The 18381-nt window shown below is 50.8% G+C and overlaps 5 non-coding genes across 5 annotated transcripts, besides 10 other annotated features; 2 read left to right on the plus strand and 3 right to left on the minus strand.

Moving 5' to 3' along the window:
- Positions 617-756: an enhancer, noted in NCBI's record as "active region_23780". NCBI's record gives its function as "activates an Ori minimal core promoter by ATAC-STARR-seq in GM12878 lymphoblastoid cells {active_cell/tissue: GM12878}" and the evidence as "EXISTENCE:reporter gene assay evidence [ECO:0000049][PMID:35858748]".
- TRV-CAC1-4 (tRNA-Val (anticodon CAC) 1-4) lies at positions 991-1063 on the plus strand. The gene has a single exon. It is a non-coding gene; the product is annotated as a tRNA-Val (tRNA).
- Positions 1017-1096: a silencer, noted in NCBI's record as "silent region_16780". NCBI's record gives its function as "represses an Ori minimal core promoter by ATAC-STARR-seq in GM12878 lymphoblastoid cells {active_cell/tissue: GM12878}" and the evidence as "EXISTENCE:reporter gene assay evidence [ECO:0000049][PMID:35858748]".
- TRL-AAG1-3 (tRNA-Leu (anticodon AAG) 1-3) lies at positions 1385-1466 on the minus strand. The gene has a single exon. It is a non-coding gene; the product is annotated as a tRNA-Leu (tRNA).
- Positions 11356-11565: a silencer, noted in NCBI's record as "silent region_16781". NCBI's record gives its function as "represses an Ori minimal core promoter by ATAC-STARR-seq in GM12878 lymphoblastoid cells {active_cell/tissue: GM12878}" and the evidence as "EXISTENCE:reporter gene assay evidence [ECO:0000049][PMID:35858748]".
- Positions 11519-12186: a silencer, noted in NCBI's record as "fragment chr5:180611178-180611845 (GRCh37/hg19 assembly coordinates)". NCBI's record gives its function as "represses an EF-1alpha promoter that drives an FKBP-Casp9 reporter gene in an ReSE screen in HepG2 liver carcinoma cells {active_cell/tissue: HepG2}" and the evidence as "EXISTENCE:reporter gene assay evidence [ECO:0000049][PMID:32094911]".
- Positions 11519-12253: a biological region, named in NCBI's record as "H3K4me1 hESC enhancer GRCh37_chr5:180611412-180611912".
- Positions 11753-12253: an enhancer, noted in NCBI's record as "H3K4me1 hESC enhancer chr5:180611412-180611912 (GRCh37/hg19 assembly coordinates)". NCBI's record gives its function as "activates a minimal SCP1, AML or CMV promoter by ChIP-STARR-seq in naive H9 embryonic stem cells {active_cell/tissue: H9 hESC(naive)}" and the evidence as "EXISTENCE:reporter gene assay evidence [ECO:0000049][PMID:30033119]".
- Positions 15028-15157: a silencer, noted in NCBI's record as "silent region_16782". NCBI's record gives its function as "represses an Ori minimal core promoter by ATAC-STARR-seq in GM12878 lymphoblastoid cells {active_cell/tissue: GM12878}" and the evidence as "EXISTENCE:reporter gene assay evidence [ECO:0000049][PMID:35858748]".
- TRL-AAG2-1 (tRNA-Leu (anticodon AAG) 2-1) lies at positions 15042-15123 on the plus strand. Its single transcript has one exon. It is a non-coding gene; the product is annotated as a tRNA-Leu (tRNA).
- Positions 15748-15947: a silencer, noted in NCBI's record as "silent region_16783". NCBI's record gives its function as "represses an Ori minimal core promoter by ATAC-STARR-seq in GM12878 lymphoblastoid cells {active_cell/tissue: GM12878}" and the evidence as "EXISTENCE:reporter gene assay evidence [ECO:0000049][PMID:35858748]".
- Positions 15757-15829, minus strand: TRV-AAC2-1 (tRNA-Val (anticodon AAC) 2-1). The gene has a single exon. It is a non-coding gene; the product is annotated as a tRNA-Val (tRNA).
- Positions 15998-16207: an enhancer, noted in NCBI's record as "active region_23781". NCBI's record gives its function as "activates an Ori minimal core promoter by ATAC-STARR-seq in GM12878 lymphoblastoid cells {active_cell/tissue: GM12878}" and the evidence as "EXISTENCE:reporter gene assay evidence [ECO:0000049][PMID:35858748]".
- Positions 16195-16266, minus strand: TRP-TGG3-1 (tRNA-Pro (anticodon TGG) 3-1). The gene has a single exon. It is a non-coding gene; the product is annotated as a tRNA-Pro (tRNA).
- Positions 18228-18357: a silencer, noted in NCBI's record as "silent region_16784". NCBI's record gives its function as "represses an Ori minimal core promoter by ATAC-STARR-seq in GM12878 lymphoblastoid cells {active_cell/tissue: GM12878}" and the evidence as "EXISTENCE:reporter gene assay evidence [ECO:0000049][PMID:35858748]".

Consider the following 18381-nt stretch of genomic DNA (forward strand, 5'->3'; position numbering starts at 1 on the left):
AGTGTTGCCCAGACTGGTCTCAACTCATGAGCTCAAACAATTCGCACACCTCGCCCTCCCAGAGTTCTGGAATTACAGGTGTGAGCCACCACGCCAGACCAGTTCTTTGTTTTTTGTTTCTTGGGGTTTTCTGTTTGTTTATGTGTTTTTTTCTTTGCTCGTTTTTAACGGACAAGATATTTAAAGAGACACTTCACACAGTAAGATAAACACATGAGCCATAAACCCATGAAAGAGTGCCCATCTTTTCTCATCAGCTGAATGCAAACTTAAACCATAAGGAATACTACATACCCATAAATGGCTAGAAGTTAAAAAAGTAATAATCAATGAAAAGTGCCAAATGTTGCCAAGGGTGTAGCCTTCATAACGCTTGCACATTGTTGGTGGGAGGAAATTACCCTAAATGTCCGACAGCAGTGGCTGCTAGGAAAATCTAGAGTTCTACCAAACAATGGAACAATAACAATGGTGTTTTAGGCTACTTCCTCTTTCATTCCACTCCAATTTCTCCAGACCCACGAACTTCAGCTCTACTCACGAACGCGTGTCCTCATATTCCCCAAGCAGCTTCTTCTAAATGTCTCTTCTCTTTGAAAATGGTGCCAGCGCGCCCCTGCTGTTCAACCCCCGTGCCTACTGTTGCTGCCACATCCTCTCTCAAGACTCCCGTGTCCACTTATGCCACCACATTGCACATGAAAACTTCCTTTTCTTGTTTCTTTCTTTTCTCTCTTTCGAGACAAGATCTTGCTCTGTCGCCCAGGCTGGAGTGCAGTGCTGCAATCATAGCTCAGTGCAGTGTGGACCTCCCGGGCTCCAGCCGTCCTCCCGCCTCAGCCTTCCAGGTGCTGAAACGTGCTTTTTTTGTGTGTTCATGCTCATTAACAAAGCTCAAAGGGACGCATGGAGGAAGCTCTGAATTATGATGAGAAATAAAATACCGCCCTGTGTGGTGGCTCATTGTGATGGCACAGGTATCCCATGCAGGTTTCCGTAGTGTAGTGGTTATCACGTTCGCCTCACACGCGAAAGGTCCCCGGTTCGAAACCGGGCGGAAACACCTCCTTCTGCTTTTTACCTCATTATCTCAGATTTGTTACACTGAGGACTTGCCTACAACACTCCACCGCTATCTCCACCTGGTTAAGGAAAAAAGGCTATCAAGGGTATTTATACCTTTGCCTTTCCGCCTCAACCATTGGAACCTGGGACGAACTGAACCCACTTCACTTGCTGTGGACACCAGCGCCGACGAACTTCGCACAAAGCCCGTCCACTGGACAGCTGCGCGCTGCCAAATGGAATCCAGATCCCGAGCAAGGGTGCGGCCCAGGGAGAGTTCCAAGGAACTGGGGGACAAAATGGGCAAACCACAACAAGCTGGCAGCGGTGGGATTCGAACCCACGCCTCCGAAGAGACTGGAGCCTTAATCCAGCGCCTTAGACCGCTCGGCCACGCTACCTTCCTCCGGGGGTTCACCTGCATCTTTTCCTTCCTTATAAAACATCCCCAGGGTTCCCGGGCCAACAAGGCGTTGGGGCGAATCCACAGGGCATCGCAGAACCACCGCCTTCCAGCAGGATTCGCGGGCCAGAGGCACCAGCTGGGAAACGGCTCCACCAGCGCCCCAGCAGAGAAGATTCGCGACGCGCAGGCCTCGGAATTTGCTTTGGGGGCCACTCAGAAAGTCAGAAAGTCACCCACATTGGCCCTCTTTGGGGAGGCGGCGTGAGAGGAGGGGAAGCCTTCTGCACTCTTTACTTTAAAGAAAGATAAAAAAATAAACCAGGGCAGACCCCGTCAGTTCCGGGCCGCGTAGTCCTGCAAAGTCTCACTCTGTGCCCCAGGCTGCAATGACACGATCTTGGCTCACTGCAACCTCCGCCTCCCGGGTTCAAGCAATGCTCCCGCCTCAGCCTCCCAAGTAGCTGAGATCACAGGCGCACACCACCACGCCCGGCTAATTTTTGTATTTTTAGTAGAGACGGGGTTTCACCATGTTGGTTAGGCTGGTCTCGAACTCCTGACCTCATGATCCACCCGTCTCGGCCTCCCAAAGTGCTGGGATTACAGGCGTGAGCCACCGTGCCCGGCCAATAAAAAGTATATTAAACTATCAAGAGAAAAAAATCAACAGGCCAGAAACGTAAGGTCTGTTTCTGCATTCTCAGTTCTGTTCCACTGGTCTATATGCCTATCTGTATGCCAATAACATTCATCTTGATTACTGTAGCTTTATTTTATTTATTTATTTATTTATTTATTTATTTTTTGAGACGGAGTCTCGCTCTGTCGCCCAGGCTGGAGTGCAGTGGCGCGATCTTGGCTCACTGCAAGCTCCGCCTCCCGGGTTCACGCCATTCTCCTGCCTGGTTACCAGAATACCCGTCTCTACTAAAAATGCAAAAACAAAATTGGCCGGGCGTGGTGGCGGGCGCCTGTAGTCCCAGCTACTCCGGAGGCTGAGGCAGGAGAATGGCGTGAACCCGGGGAGTTGGAGCTTGCGGTGAGCAGAGATGGCGCCACTGCACTCCAGCCTGGGCGACAGAGAGAGACTGCGTCTCAAAAAAAATAAATAAATAAAAAAAAGAAAGAAAGAAAAAGAAAAAAGAAAAGAAACTCCTGGGCTCAAGTGATCCTCCTGCCTCAGCCTCCCAAAGTGCTGGGATTACAGGCATGAGCTACTGTGCCCAGTCTGTTTTGTTGTTTAAGATTACTCAAGATTTTTCTACATACAGGATCATTTTTCTCTGCTAATAATGACTGTCTTACTTCTGCTTTTCCTGTCTTGTGCCTTTAGCTTCCTTTTCTCACCTCCAGTACTCCGTGAAATACAAATGGTGAGGGTGATATCCTTGTCATCTTCCAAAGCTTAAGGAGGCTTTTTCACCATAATGTTACTGGAAAGAGGTCCCATTCCAGATTCCAAGAAAGGATTCTTGAATCTCGAGCAAGAAAGAATTTGGAGGCCTGTAATCCCAGCACTTTGAGAGGCTGAGGTGGGTGGATCACCTGAAGTCAGGAGTTCGAGACCAGCCTAATCAACATGGTGAAACCCCATCTCTACTAATAATACAAAAGTCATCCGGTCATGGTGGTGCATGCCTGTAATCCCCACTACTTGGGAGGCTGAGGCCGGAGAATCGCTTGAACCCGGGAAGGCGGAGGTTGCAGTGAGCCGAGATCACACCATTGCCCTCCAACCTGGGTGACAAGAGCAAAACTCCATCTCCCCCCGAAAAAAAGAATTCGGGAAGTTCATAAAGTGAAAGCAAGGTTATTAAGAAAATAAAGGAGGCCGGGCGCGGGGGCTCACGCCTGTAATCCCAGCACTTTGGGAGACCGAGGCAGGTGGATCATGAGGTCAGGAGATCGAGACCATCCTGGCTAACATGGTGAAACCCCGTCTCTACTAAGAATACAAAAAAATTAGCCGGACGTGGTGACAGGCACCTGTAGTCCCAGCTACTCGGGAGGCTGAGGCAGGAGAATCCCTTGAACCTGGGAGGCGGAGGTTGCAGTGAGCCGAGATCGCGCCACTGCACTCCAGCCCGGGCGACAGAGCGAGACTCCTTTCCAAAAAAAAAAAAAAAAAAAAAGAAAAGAAAAAAGAAAGAAAGAAAATAAAGGAATAAAAGAATGGCTACTCCACAGGGAGAACAGCCCCCAACGGCTGCTGTTGTCCATTTTTATAGCTGTTTCTTGATTATATGCTAAACAAGGGGTGGATTATTCATCAGTTTTCCAGGAAAGGGGTGGGCAATTCTTAGAACTGGGGGTTCCTTCTTGTTTTAGACCATATAGGGTAACTTCCTGGCATTGCCATGGCATCTGTAAACTGTCATGGTGCTGGTGGGAGTGTCTTTAGCATGCTAATACATTATAATTAGCATGTAATGAGCAGTGAGGATGACCAGAGGTAGCTTTTATCCCCATCTTGGTTTTGATGGGATTTGGCCGGCTTCTGCACTGCATGCTGTCTTATCACCAAGGTCTTTATGACCTGTATCTTGGGCTGACCTATCTTATCCTGTAACTTAGAATACCAGACTTACTAGGAATGCAGCCTAGTAGGTCTCAGCCTTTTTTTATTTAAACAGCCCTTATACAAGATGGAGTCACTCTGGTTTAAATGCCTCTGACAATAAGAATAATGTTCACTATAAGTCTGCTGTAAATGTACTTTATCAAATTGAGGAATTTTCCTTCTATTCTTAGTTTTTTAATTTCTTTTTTGTCATAAAAAACATGACTTTGCCAAATGCGTTTCTGTGTCTATTACAATGATCTTGTGGGCTGGGTTGTAGGGATGGCGGAGAAATGGGGAGACGTTGGGCAAAGGCTATGAAGTTTCAGGTAGACTGGATGGAAAAGTTCTAAAGAGCTATTGTATAGCATAGTGACTACAGGTAATAATACTGTGTTGTATTCTCAATGAAAAGAGTCAGGCGCCTGCCTGTAATCTCAGCTACTCAGGATTGCTAAGGCAGGAGAATCGCTTCAACCCGGGAGGTGGAGGTTTCAGTGAGCCGCGATCGCGCCACTGCACTCCAGCCTGGGTGACAGAGTAAGACTCCTTCTCAAAAAAAAAAAAAAAAAAAAAAATGGAGTTCGTAAGTTCATTTTGAATGAATACCTGGCATGTAGAAGGTGCTTAAACAAAGAGCAGATAACATTTAAAAAGCATCAGGAATATTCTTATAGGATGTAGATTTTCAGATCCAAATGCCAGCAGTTCATTCTGGTCGATGAGAGGAAAATATTTTGCATTGAGGCTATCCCAGGAAAGCAAGGACACAAGGCCACGGGGAGCAACCAAGGACCATGACAACTTCTGAGAAAAATAAGTTTTTAAAGAGAAGCCCCTGCCATTTGGAAGCTAACGGGCACTCACAGCCTGCTGGACATAAGCAGCCCCGCAGAATACAGCCCTGGACAGGGCTACTCGGAGGCCGAGATTAAATTAGACCACGCGAGGCCACTTCGTCACTGCACCGAAGCAGGGGTGGAAGCAAGCTCACTGCACCAGCCACAAAGCACCAGACATCCCACCCAGACAAAACCAGTGGCTGTTACTTCTTCACCAATGACAGCTTTAAAAAGCCGCTCCTGCCAGTCACGGTGGCTCACGCCTGTAATCCCAACACTTTGGGAGGCGAAGGTGGGCGGATCACCTGAGGTCAGGAGTTCAAGACCAGCCTGGCCAACATAGTGAAACCCCGTCTCTACTAAAAACACAACAAATTAGCTGGGCGTGGTGGCAGGAAGTCAGGGACCCTGAATGGAGGGAACAGCTGGAGCTGCAGCAGAGGAACATAAATTGTGAAGATTTCATGGACATTTATCAGTTCCCAAAATTAATACTTTTATAATTTCTTACGCCGGTCTTTACTGCAATCTCTGAACATAAATTGTGAAGATTTCATGGACATTTATCAGTTCCAAAATAATACTTTTATAATTTCTTATGCCTGTCTTTATTTATTTATTTATTTATTTATTTATTTATTTTTTTTTCTTTTGAGACGGAGTCTTGCTCTGTCTCCCAGGCTGGAGTGCAGTGGTGCGATCTCAGCTCACTGCAAGCTCCGCCTCCCGGGTTCACGCCATTCTCCTGCCTCAGCCTCCCGAGTAGCTGGGACTACAGGCGCCCGCCACCACGCCCGGCTAATTTTTTGTATTTTTAGTAGAGACGGGGTTTCACCATGTTGGCCGGGATGGTCTCGATCTCCTGACCTCGTGATCCGCCCGCCTCGGCCTCCCAAAGTGCTGGAATTACAGGCGTGAGCCGCCGTGCCCGGCCGAAAGAAACCTTTCTTTTACACCAGCCTTCCAGGGCTAGGAAAGTCTTCTGAAAATCCCGGTACAAAGAAATCTGCACAAAGATAAGCCTCCATGTATTATTAACTGTAATAACTTTGGTCCTGGTGCAGGAAGAACCAAGAAGATCAATGGAGTGGAACTGAATCAATAAAGAGACTCGAATGTGTTTGGGAATTGAGCACATGGTAATGGCGGCGTTTCAGTGGAGAGAACAGAGTTACCTGTGTAATAGAAAACCAAGTCAAAAGGAAGAAAAATTAATGGTGGAGATAATTTTGTTTTTACCCAAAAATAAAAAATAAAAGCCGGGCACGGTGTCTCATGCCTGTAATCCCAGCACTTTGGGAGGCTGAGGTGGGCGGATCACCTGAGGTCAGGAGTTCAAGACCATCCCGGCCAACATGGTGAAACCCCATCTCTACTAAAAATACAAAAAATTAGCCGGGCATGGTGGCGGGCGCCTGTAGTCCCAGCTACTTGGGAGGCTGAGGCAGGAGAATTGCAGTGAGCTGAGATCGTGCCACTGCACTCCAGCCTGGACGACAGAGCAAGACCCTGTCTCAAAAAAATAAAATAAAATAAAAATAAAAAATAAAAAAATAAGGAAAGTGGGACTGCATGGGACTGGAGGGAGAGAGGTGGGTTAGAGCAAGTTTGGTTTTTTCCCTTTCCCTTGGTCAGCAAACTACCCTCAGGCCAAATCCAGCCTGCAACCTATTTCTCTCCAGCCCAGCGAGCTAAGAACATTTTTTACTGGTTAAAAAAATAAAAAGAATAATATTTCATGACATGTAAAAATTAGATGAAATTCAAATGTTGGTGTCTGTGAGTCAAGTCCCATTGGCACACATGTCCCATTGGCACACGGCGCCTCCCTCTCATTATGTGTCACCTTTACTGGCTTTGGCACCAAAAGGGCAGACGTGGGTACTTCCGACAAAACTGAAAAGATTCTGTACGTGGCCCTTGCAGAGAAAGCTTGCAGACCCCTGCTTTAGAGAGAGGAGGTATGAGAGTTTAGGCTTTGGTGTGGGTGGCTGGGGAGATCCCCTGGTTCAGGAAATGGTGATTCCAAGGGAAGTTGCTGTCTGGGTGCTGGTGCTGTCCTCCTCCTCTGTCCACCCCATATCTAATGCATTCTGAGCGCTCGCTGGGCAGTCAGTGCAGGGCGGGACAACAGTCACGTGTTGCTTCCCAAGACATACAGTCACGGGCCCCTTAACAACAAGGATGCATTCTGGGAAATGGTGATTAGGTGGCTCTTGGAAGGTGCACCTCATTTACCCCTAGGCTGGGTGGCATAGCCCATCGCTCCCACGAGTGACGTCTGTGCTACGACAGTACCACGGCTATGACATCCCTAGGCCATAGGAATTCTTCAGCTCCATCATAGTCATGGGACCACTGTCATGCACGTGTCCCTCCTTGCCTGGAAGGTTGCTGTGCAGCGCATGACGGCACTTCCATGTCAGCGGGTGCCTCGCTGGCCCATCTCCTGCCCCTGCTCACTCTGTCTGCCACCTTCCAGCAGCTCCCTGCCCTAAAGCCATCCTGATGCTGCTTTTCCGCCATTTCTTCCTCTGTGCATGTTACCCCAAACTCCACAGGGACTGCTGCTTGCTTGACATGCATTCTGGAACCTTCTGGGATCCTGTCCCAGTGCTCCCAAGGAGAAGCGGCAAGCAAGGGCCAACTCAGCCCAGGGCTGCCTCTGTCCAGGCCCTCTGTCCAGGTCGACAGGCATCTTCCCCTCCCCAGGGGGAGTGCAGGCTCCAGATGAGTTTCTGTCTCCCCAGCTGAGAACCTTTGTCTTGGTTCGGGTTGCTGTAACACAATACCATATGCCAGGCTGCTCAAACAATGACATTGATTTCTCACAGTTTCGCAGGCTGGAAGTCTAGATCAGGGTGCAGCACACTGCAGTTCTTGGTAAGGATCCTCTTCCTGATTTCTGCCCAGCTGCCTTCTCACTGTATCCCCACGAGAGAGGGAGAGGAACCAGCTCTCAGTCTCAGTTCTGTCTCCCTGTGAATCTGAGAGTGTGCTGAGGCCAGGAACCTTTGTCCCCTTAGCACCTAGACAGGATGTGGGACAGGAGTTAGGCACATAAATAAATGAATGAATGAATGGAAAGAAAATATATGATTGGTAATAATCCTTCATTGATTCAACAAGCCAACCCTGCACAGTCCTCACTCTCAGCTGGGGACATCCGTTGCAAAAGTTCAATCACCTCTGGCCCTGGCCAGTCCCAGGTGGCACCTCAGCTGTCACCAACCTGTCCCCTGACAGTGCCCTGGATGAGGCCACCAGCACCTCCCTCCTGACTCACAAGCATGGGGCTCTTCTAGCAGCCCTACTTGACTACTCTTGGATCTGTGGGGCTTTTGGTTCTCCGAAAGTCACTCACTCATTTATCAAAGGGGGACTTCATGTTCCACCTTTGACCCACAACTCTTTTGTACTATTTGCAAGACTCTGAGGCTTTTTTTTTTTTTTTTTTGAGACAGGGTTTCACTCTTTTTGCCCAGGCTGGAGTGCAGTGGCATCATCTCAGCTCACTGCAACCTCTGTCTCCCAGGTTCAAGTGATTCTCCTGCCTCAGCCTCCTGAGTAGCTGGGATTACAGGCACCCATCACCATGCCTGGCTAATTTTTTGTATTTTTAGTAGAGACGGGGTTTCACCATGTTGGTCAGGCTGGTCTTGAACTCCTAACCTCCAGTGATCCACCTGCCTCAGCCTCCCAAAGTGCTGAGATTACAGGTGTGAGCCACCACGCCCAGCCGAGTCTGAGCCCTTTTAAAGATGGGTGGCCATGGACTACCAGTCTGGTGAAAGTTATGGACTCCTTCTCAGAATAATGCTTTCTTTCTGTTTGTTTTTGGTTTTGGTTTTTTGAGACAGGGTCTTGCTCTGTTGCTAAGGCTGGAGAGCAGTGGGAAGAACCTAGCTCACTGCAGCCATGACCTCCTGGGCTGAAGGGATCCTCCCACCTCAGCCTCTCAAGTACTTGGGGCTACAGGTGCATGCCACCATTTCTGGCTAATATTTTGCATTTTTTGTAGAGATGGGGTCTCCCTATGTTGCCCTTGCTGGTCTCAAACTCCTGGCCTCAAGCGATTCAAATACCTTGGCCTCCCAAATAGCTGGAATTACAGCTGTGAGTCACACTGCCAGGACAATTACCATAATTTTTAAGTACTAATGAGCATAAGTGATATTTCAAAGTGCCTACAAGAACTATGATTTGACATGTGATATGAAAGGACCTGTGATTTCTTTGTGTTTTGCTGGTGTATGAGACAGAGTCTGCCTCTGCTGCCCAGGCTGGAGTGCAGTGGCACAACCTTGGCTCGCTGCAGCCTCCACCTCTGGGGCTCCTGCGATCCTCCCGCCTCAGCCGCATCTGTGATTTCCATTAGCAATAAAGGTCGTGTTAATTCTACTGTGGATTGCAGCCTCCTTTCTGAATGGAAAACCCTCTTTCAGTTCGTGATTAGGAAAAACATGAGTTCTGCTATTGTTCCCACCCAGATTCACAGATCCCCTGTTATCCCCGCCTCCTAGGAAAGGGAATCTTTCGGCCTTCTCGGGGCCAGGCCTTCACCTCCGCCTACAGGCAGGAGATGGCGCCAACAGCAAGAGGTTCCTTCTGACTGTGGCCTATAATTAGGTCAAGTGGCAGCATAGGTAGACGTGCAATCAGGGACTAAGTCTGCAGATGTGACTTGCATGAGGTGGGCATGACTGTGCTACGAGCATAACTAAGAACGTCTTCATCTTAGTGAGCGGGTGTTTTATGAGAGTGTGCACTAAGATGAGAAATCATCCACAGCATCCACTAAAAGAGGGTTTGGGGGCCTTAAGTCTGTGCACACATCCGCCCGCGGTGTCCGGGGAGAGAGTGCGAAGTGCCGGGTCCCTGCGAAGGTGCAGTTCCTGGAGGAGGCCCTCAGGCTCTCAGGACAGCGGATGCTGGGACTCCACATTCTCCTTCTGGTTTTCTCCTGGTCTCCTGTCACCCGTGGCAAGTGTCTCTCCTGTTGTTGTCGTTTTTATAAATAGAAACAAGGTCTCATTATGTTGCCCAGGCTGGTCTCAAACACCTGGACTCAATCAATCCACCCACCTCTCCCTCCCAAAAGTTCTGGGACTTCAGGTGTGAGCCGACGCACCCAGCCCTGTTCTATTTCTGATTATAATCCTGAGCTTTGTCCATGTGTCCCTTTAAGCTTGGCTAATGGGGCTGAGCACATAAGAAAAGGAACTACCAGACTTGGAACGCTGAGGCAGGAGGATCGCCGGAACCCAGCAGTTGCAGACCAGCCTGTACAACGTACGGAGACCCCATTTCTACTGAAACATAGAAGAATAAAAATCAGCCAGGTGTGGTGGCATATGCCTGTAGTCCCAGCTACTTGGGAGGCTGAGGTAAGAGACTCATTTGAGCCTAGGAGGTGGAGGCTGCAGTGAGCCGTGATCGCAGCACTGCGCTCCGGCCTAGGTGACAGAGGGAAACGTCTTGAACAAAAAGAAGAAAAGAAAGAAAAGGAAGTTTTCATGCCCGACGCGGTAGCATAAGGGGGCATGGGAGACCGGACGAGAGGGTGTGGCAGCGACCGCAGGGAGAGGAGACGGCGGACGCGGAACTGTGCGGGGTTGGCAGTGGGCTTGGGGGTGGCACAGCGGGGACGCGCTGGCACCGGTTTCTGAGAGGGGACATTCGGGAGAAGCTGCCTGGGGAATGGGAGGCCACGAGTTCGGGCGTGGAGACGGAGCTTCAGGGCCTGGAGAAAGGGGAGTGGAAATGACGGAGGAAGTATCCGTATCGCATCCTCGGTTTGCCCGAGAGATGTCTGTGCCGCCACGTTTACCGCAGCGCTGTTCACAATAGCCCAGATCTGCGAGCAAAGGCAGCGGCCGTCGGTGCAGGAGTGGGCGGAGGCACCGAGGTGGATGCGCAGCAGAGCACCACTCAGCCGCAAGAACACGATAATCCCGGCCGGGCGCGGGGGCTCACGCCTGTAATCCCAGCACTTTGGGAGGCCGAGGCGGGCGGATCACGAGGTCAGGAGATCGAGACCAGCCTGACCAACACGGTGAAACCCCGTCTCTACTAAAAATACAAAAATTAGCCAGGCGTGAAAAACACCAGGCGTAAAAACACACCACAGGCGCGGTGGCGGGCGCCTGTAGTCCCAGCTCCTCGGGAGGCTGAGGCAGGAGAATCGCTTGAACCTGGGAGGCGGAGCTTGCAGTGAGCGGAGATCACGCCATTGCACTCCAGCCTGGCGACAGAGCGAGACTCCATCTCAAAAAAAGAAAAAAATATATAGAATTTTGGCCCATTAACTACACTAGATATTTATTTCTCTATATAATCATTATGATGTTATACAGAGATTGAGCCACAAGGATAATCTTGCAATGGGGGGAAAAAAAAAATCTGAGTCTAAATGTTCAACAACAGTGGCTGCTTAGATATCTAGAGTTCTTCCAAACACTGGAACAATGAAAATGGTGTTGTGGGCTGTTTTCTTCTTCCCGCTGATACCAATCCTGCTGCGGTCTGGTTGTGGTATACAGGGAGTTCCGGCGGGCCCAGGTCCCCTCTCCTCCTGCAGCCCTGGGCCCGGGCTCCGCTGCGTCTGGCGCTGCAAGACCTGCGCGCCGAGATCCCGGGGCGAGGGACCCTGGGCGGCGCGATCTGCACAGCGCCGAGCCTGCATCGCGCCCCCGCCAGGACCAGAGCCGCGCCGCGGTGGAGTCCTGAGCGCCCCCGAGCGGTCACGTGTGCGGCGGCGACCCAAGAATTTGAAAGAGTCGCGGAAAACTGCACTCATCATAGAGCATCTGAAGGTTCCTAGAGGGAGCTGTGAACGGTTAACAAAAAACACGGCCATGGGGTCCCCTGGTGGCGTTTTGAAGGGCGACCCCTCCCCTACCCCAGCGCGGCCTGTGGCTCTTTGTTTACAATTTCATAAAGGCGAAAAATAAAATGTAGGAATGAGTGGCATCACAGTACCTTTGTTGAGTATTTTTTTCTTTTTCTTTTTACTATGGAATCTTTCCAGCGAAGTTAAGTACTTTTTAAAAGGCAAGTTACAAAACACAATGCAAAGTATTCTTATTAAAACATAGCTCGGGGCCGGGCGCGGTGGCTCACGCCTGTAATCCCAGCACTTTGGGAGGCTGAGGCGGGTGGATCATGACGCCAGAAGATCGAGACGATCCTGGCTAACACGGTGAAACCCCGTCTCTACTAAAAACACAAAAAAATGAGCCGGGCGTGGTGGCGGGCGCCTCTAGTCCCAGCTACTCGGGAGGCTGAGGCAGGAGAATGGCGTGAACCCGGGAGGCGGAGCTTGCAGTGAGCTGAGATCGCACCACTGCACTCCAGCCTGATCAACAGAGCGAGACTCCGTCTCAAAAACAAAAACAAAAACAAAACAAAACAAAACAAAAAAACCAAAAAACAACAAAAAAAGAGCTCGGCCAGGCGCGGTGGCTCACTCCTGCAATCCCAGCAGTTTGTGAGGCCTAGGCAAGAGGAGCTCGAGATCAACCTGGGCAATATGGCGAAACTCGTCTCTACAAAAAATACCAAAATTAGCCAGGCGTGGTGGTACGCACCCGTGGTTCTAGCTGCTCCGGAGCCTGAGGTGGGAGAATCGCTGGAGCCCAGGAGGTCGAGACTGCAGTGAGCTGTGTTTGTGCCACTACAGTCCAACCTGGGTGACAGAGCAAGACCCCGTTTGAAAAATAAATAAATATGTAAATGTAAATAAGTAAATAACATAGCTTGTCGAGCTGAGTAGGGTGGCACACGCCTGTAATCCCAGCTACTCAGGAGGCTGAGGCGGGAGGATGGATCGAGCACAGGAGGTTGAGCCCAGGTTGGGCTAAACTGCGTAAACCACCCCCAACCCCTGCCTCAAAAATATATATATATAAATATAAGACAAATAAGTTAAAGTATCCATGAAAATAGTCTTAAAAGCTCTAAAACAAAATAATAGCAATATGTGTGGCATGGTTGAGGACGCTTTTTATGTTCTTTAAGCTCATTTACTCTACTTTTTCTTCTTAGGTGTGTCTAATTATTCCACAGTGAGCACATGTTAATGAAAAAGGTTTAGTGTCTAAACGTAGAAATAGGAAATCCTCCGGAACTGAAAGAACAGGCTGGAGGGGACCGAACAGAGCCTGGCACGTGCTCCAGGAGCGCCTCGGGGGCTGAGCGCTGGTAGAGGCGGCCTCTGTCTCCCGATCACTCTGCAACACAACGGGATGCCCACCTAGCCTGAGGATGCCAAGTGGACACAGGAAGCCAGCGTGGCCACACAGCAATGAGGAAGCACAGGACCCCTCATCCCCTCCCAGGGGCTTCTTTCAACAAGTTACAAATACAAAGACAGGTAAGGAACTTGGAAAGGCGTTTCTGCTGGGAGGCTCTACCGTATTTGGTTCTCTGGCCTGAAACTGTCATAGAGAGAACTCGAAGGTGGCCCCTAAGATTCCCACCCGGCGCACACGCCCTGTAGACCACCTGCCTATGAGTGAACGTGATGGCATGTCACTCCCACAACCATGCCACATTTTACGGAACAAAGGATTGCGCAGCTGTGATTGAGGTTCCTGGTCAGTTGATTTTGATAAATCAAAAGGGAGATTATCCTGGGTGGGCCTGACTTAATCAGGTGAGCCCTTTAAAAGAAGGTGGAGTTCCAGAAACACCGTGCACCGCTGGCCTCAAGGAAAGGGGCCTCTGGTTGCCAAGAGTGGCCCTCAGCTGACAGCCAACAAGCAAACAGGAGATTTCAGTCCCACAGCCACAAAGAAATGCATTTTGTCAACAACCAGGGAGGCTGGAAGAGAACCCCCCTGCCTCAGATGAGGCTGCAGCAATGGCCAACATTGTGATGTCACCTGCTGCGGTATCAGTAGAAGATCTTGCTAACTTGTACTCCACAAAAAGCGAGATAATAAATCTGTGCTGTCTTAAGACACTAAGTGTGTGGTAATTTGTTACACACCAGTAAAATCTAAAACAATAGCCTTTCCAACTAAGAAAGTCATGTTTTAAGAAACAATTTTCATACAGATATATCTGTACTGTGTAAAGATTTCATATGTACAGAGATCTTAAGTGCGCATGGAATTGAATACACGTGTGTACCTATCATCCAGATCGAAAAGGAACATTTCCAGCATTACAAAAAATTCCTCATGTCCCTTGCAAGTCAGTACCTGCACCTCCTTCTCCCAAGTGACAGGATTTTTAACTTCTGTCACCATAGATTAGTTTGGCTCGTGTGTGAATGTCATATGTGGAATCAATAGAATGCAGATCGTTGGTGTCTGGCTGCATTTGCTCAACATTGATGACGGTGAAATCCGTCCATGCTGTTTGCAGCAGTAAGCTCATTATCAGTGTTATAATAATCCCATATAAGACTATATATATAATAAAAAAATAAAATAAAATAAGACTGTACACAATTTTATTTATCCAATGTGAAGATGGTGGGCATTTGGACTGTTTCCATAAGTGAGTTATTATGAATGAAGTTGCTAAGAACGTTTCTGCTCATGACTCATAAAGTCAATACATACTCTCAGTTTGTTGTCTGCTTTGTTGTTGTTGGGGCTTTTTGTTTGTTTTGTTTTGTTTTTGTTTGATTGGTTTTGGTACAGGGTCTTGCTCTGTCACCTAGGCTGGAGTGCAGTGGGGCGATCTCGGCTCACTGCAGCCTCGACCTCCTGGGCTCAGCTTCCTGAGTAGCTAGGACTATGGTCACACACCATCACGCCCGGCTAATGTTTACATCTTTTGTAGAGACAGGGTTTCGCCATGTTGCCCAGGCTGGGGTTTTTTGCTTGTTTTTCTTTAGGTTTTTATTTTATTTTATTTTTCATTGTATTTGTTTTTGATTTTTTGAAGTGAGAGTGTCGAAGTCTTCCCCTGCTCTGGAGTGCATTCCCCAAAGAGGGTGGCTTTATGACTGGCCTTCCTAAAGCAGATCCTGAGGCCTGGGCATTGAGAATCCTGTGTCAGGGCACTGGTGGAGCCGTTTCCCAGCCAGTGGCTTTGGCGGAGCGGATCCTGCCATGGTCCTGCCCTGTGGATTCGCCCCAACTCCCTGTTGGCCCAGAGCCCCTTCGCACGCTTCATAACTGAAGGAAAATATGTAAATACCCAGCGGCAAAGAGGTAGCGTGGCCGAGCGGTCTAAGGCGCTGGATTAAGGCTCCAGTCTCTTCGGGGGCGTGGGTTCGAATCCCACCGCTGCCAGTTTGTGGTAGTTTTGTCACTTTTGTCCCCTATGGGTTACAAAAGGAGTAATGGGCCCCACACATACTCGAGATGCGGGGTTCCATTTGGCAGCGTGCCGCTGTCCAGTGGATGAGCTCTGTGCCGAGCTTGTCCACAGCAAGTAAAACTGGATTGAGTTCACAGGTGCGGGTGGTTGGGAATGGAAAGCAAAAGCGTAGATGCCCTCTTCTCTTTGTGCCGCTGTGACCACCAGGTGGACATACTAGTGGGATCTTCTAGGTTAGTCTCCAGTGTAATAAGAGCGTGTAATGAGATAATAACCGCTTCGGGGCCGCGCGCGGTGGCTCACGCCTGTAATCCCAGCGCTTTGGGAGGCCGAGGTGGGCGGATCACCTGAGGTCCGGAGTTCGAGACCAGCCTGACCAACATGGAGAAACTCCGTCTCTACTAAAAATACAAAATTAGCCGGGCGTGGTGGCGCATGCCTGTAATCCCAGCTACTCCGGAGCCTGAGGCAGGAGAATGGCTTGAACCTGGGAGGCGGAGGTTGCTGTGAGCCGAGATCACTCCATTGCACTCCAGCCTGGGCAACAAGAGCGAAACCCCATCTCAAAAGAAAGGGGGGGGAAAAAAAAAAAAAACACTGTGGCATGTTTCCGCCCGGTTTCGAACCGGGGACCTTTCGCGTGTTAGGCGAACGTGATGACCACTACACTACGGAAACCCACACCTACCTCTGTCGCCATAATATTGTCTGCTAGCAGCTACTCTCCGGGTACGTTCGACAAGTGATCCCTAGCTGTAAAAGGAGAGCCCCCACAACCCTCAAGAGCATACTCTCACGTGCAGGTCTGTGCCCAAAGTCTTCACAGCAACTGTTGCTTCCGGGACGGCTCGCTTAGTCTCCTATCCACGATTCTTTCCAATCCCCAGCACTCCCGGAAATCTTGGTGATGCCTCCGCTGGACATCTTTCGGGATCAAAACTGTCAAGGTAACACAAAATTTAGTTGAAATTTAAAAAGCTGGCTCATCCAGGATTTGAACAAGAAGAACTTCAGTTGAAATGGAAAAAAAAAAATGAAAAAGTGGGCTCGTCCGGGATTTGAACCCGGGACCTCTCGCACCCAAAGCGAGAATCATACCCCTAGACCAACGAGCCGGCTGTCTAGTTGCTCGCTGAATCTTTTCATGATTGTGTTCTTCATGGCTCGATTCACCGAAAAGGCGGATTTCCGTCTGGCAGCTTGAACCCATTCTCAAGGTCTTATAGTCTCCCAAGCCCAACTTGTCCCCGCTGCCCATCTCCGCGTCTGCCACTAATTCTCAGCCGCAGGTAGCTCCACACAGGGTAAACGCTCCCTATGTCCTGTGTCCTCTGGTCTCCTGGAATCCGAATGAGCGCCTCCCTGCTCGATCCACTCGAGTAGCAGGCAGGAGCGTCCATCCGTTCTGCAGCCTGGGCGCCCCTTCCCAAGCGAGTCCAAGAAAGGCGCAAATCTTGAGGCCCAGGGGCAGGACACAGAGGTTGGTAGAGCCGGAGGGCTCGGGAGAGAGCGCAGTGCTGAGAGGGAAGGAACGCCGGACCGGCTGGGTGAGGAGCCCCCAGAAGCCGCTCTTACCGTTTTATGAAAAGATAATAAACAGTGCATACCCATTTGCAAAATCTTCAGGAAATGTAGGAAAGTGTAAGGCGGAAACGACCGATGACCAGGAACTCTGTCTTCTCGTGGAGACTCTAGCCACGGGGTTGTTGCACAGCTCGGAGGCTGGGACCCACGCGCGCGCGCTCCCGCGGTGCAGAGTCGGGGTCCTGGCTCACAGCCCTCGCAGCATTCTCCCGGGATTGCCCCCGGGCCGCCTCCAGCACAGGGCAAGCCTGAGGCTCGAGCTGGGCGGGCGCGCTCCTCTTTTCTCGCCTCAGACCTACTCTCGCCCTGCGCACTTTAATTGCACTGGTTTATTTAGTAGTAAAAATAGTGATGCGGTTTCCTGCTGTAAAATTCGCGATAATCTACTCAGAGCTGATGCACAGGTTTATTTTTGTGTCACCAGCAGAGACATTTCCTACACTGCTGTAAAACAGCGTGGGATGGTGGTTAAGCTACTCCGAGGAAACAATGCTCATTTTTCCATTCGCACGCTCGGCGATCTTGCTCCGCCGTCTGCGACCGCCACTGTCCTCGCCCCTCCTCTCTGCCTCTCCACGCTGGACTCCCCTGGGTGCCGTGGCTGGCTTTCGGCTCTTCCAGCAGTGAACATTTCAGGTGAACGGACCCGCCCCAAGGGTCCTCCCCACCCGGCATAGCTCTCCCTTGTCCCAAGCCTCGCACCCACGCCTCCCCCAGCAGCTGGACAGGAGCGCCAGCCTGGGAGACCTCCCGGCACCTCACCCAGATCCCACCTGATTCAGCCAGGTGACCCGTGAGTGTACGGGAGCGGCTGTAACGCCCAGACTCTGAGAGCCCCCGAGTGCGAGGCCTGAGGTTCATCCACCTGTCTCTTCGATGATTATGGGGACCGCCTGCCAACACCCCCACACACAAGCAGACGCACGCACCCTGGGAGTCCACGGCTTTCGTCGGGAGGGTATCTGTAGTTAAGCCGTCAGGTAGCTCGCCACTGGTCCCCGTGACCCGACTTCTACAGTGGGGTGATCTTCCTGTGGGGCAGGCGTTTCGGGGTCCACGAGTCCGAGGAGCCCCGGGAGCGCTAGTGCCCGAACGTGCTGGCAGGCTCCTGGCCTCTCCCGAGCGAATCCATCCCGGTCTTGACCCACGGTCTCGGCTCTTTGGACCGGAGCAGGCATGGGTGAGAGAGGGAAGCGCATACCTCCCGGCCGGAGCCGCAGACCCCGCTCGCTCCTCCACGCCTCCCAGTCAAGGCAGTCACCCCTCCGGTCTCTACCCAGGTGGCCCCGAGCGATTTTCTCTTCTCTGGTTCACCGGACAGGGATTCCGTTTTCGAACCTTGAGCTACCCTGGAGTGGTCCCGGTATAAGCCGCGGCCCCACCTGGGACGGGGACTCGCTCAGAGCTTTTTTGAGGTTCCCTCCGGCTGGAGAGAGGGCGCCTGCGACAGGGGAGTGTACGGCGGGACCCAGCGCCGCCTCCACCTGTGCCCAGGCCTCCAAAGTGCGCGGTGCGGGGAAGACGGAGGCGGGAGCCGTCCCGAGACCCCCAGGGGGCCAGTCCTGCACCTGGGCAGCGCCCCCACTGTTCACTGAGGACTTGGGCTCACTTTCTACACTTCCGTTAACAGCAAGAATAAATCAGTC

The sequence above is a fragment of the Homo sapiens genome, chromosome 5, assembly GCF_000001405.40.
Source record: "Homo sapiens chromosome 5, GRCh38.p14 Primary Assembly".
In the NCBI taxonomy this organism is placed as follows: domain Eukaryota; kingdom Metazoa; phylum Chordata; class Mammalia; order Primates; family Hominidae; genus Homo; species Homo sapiens.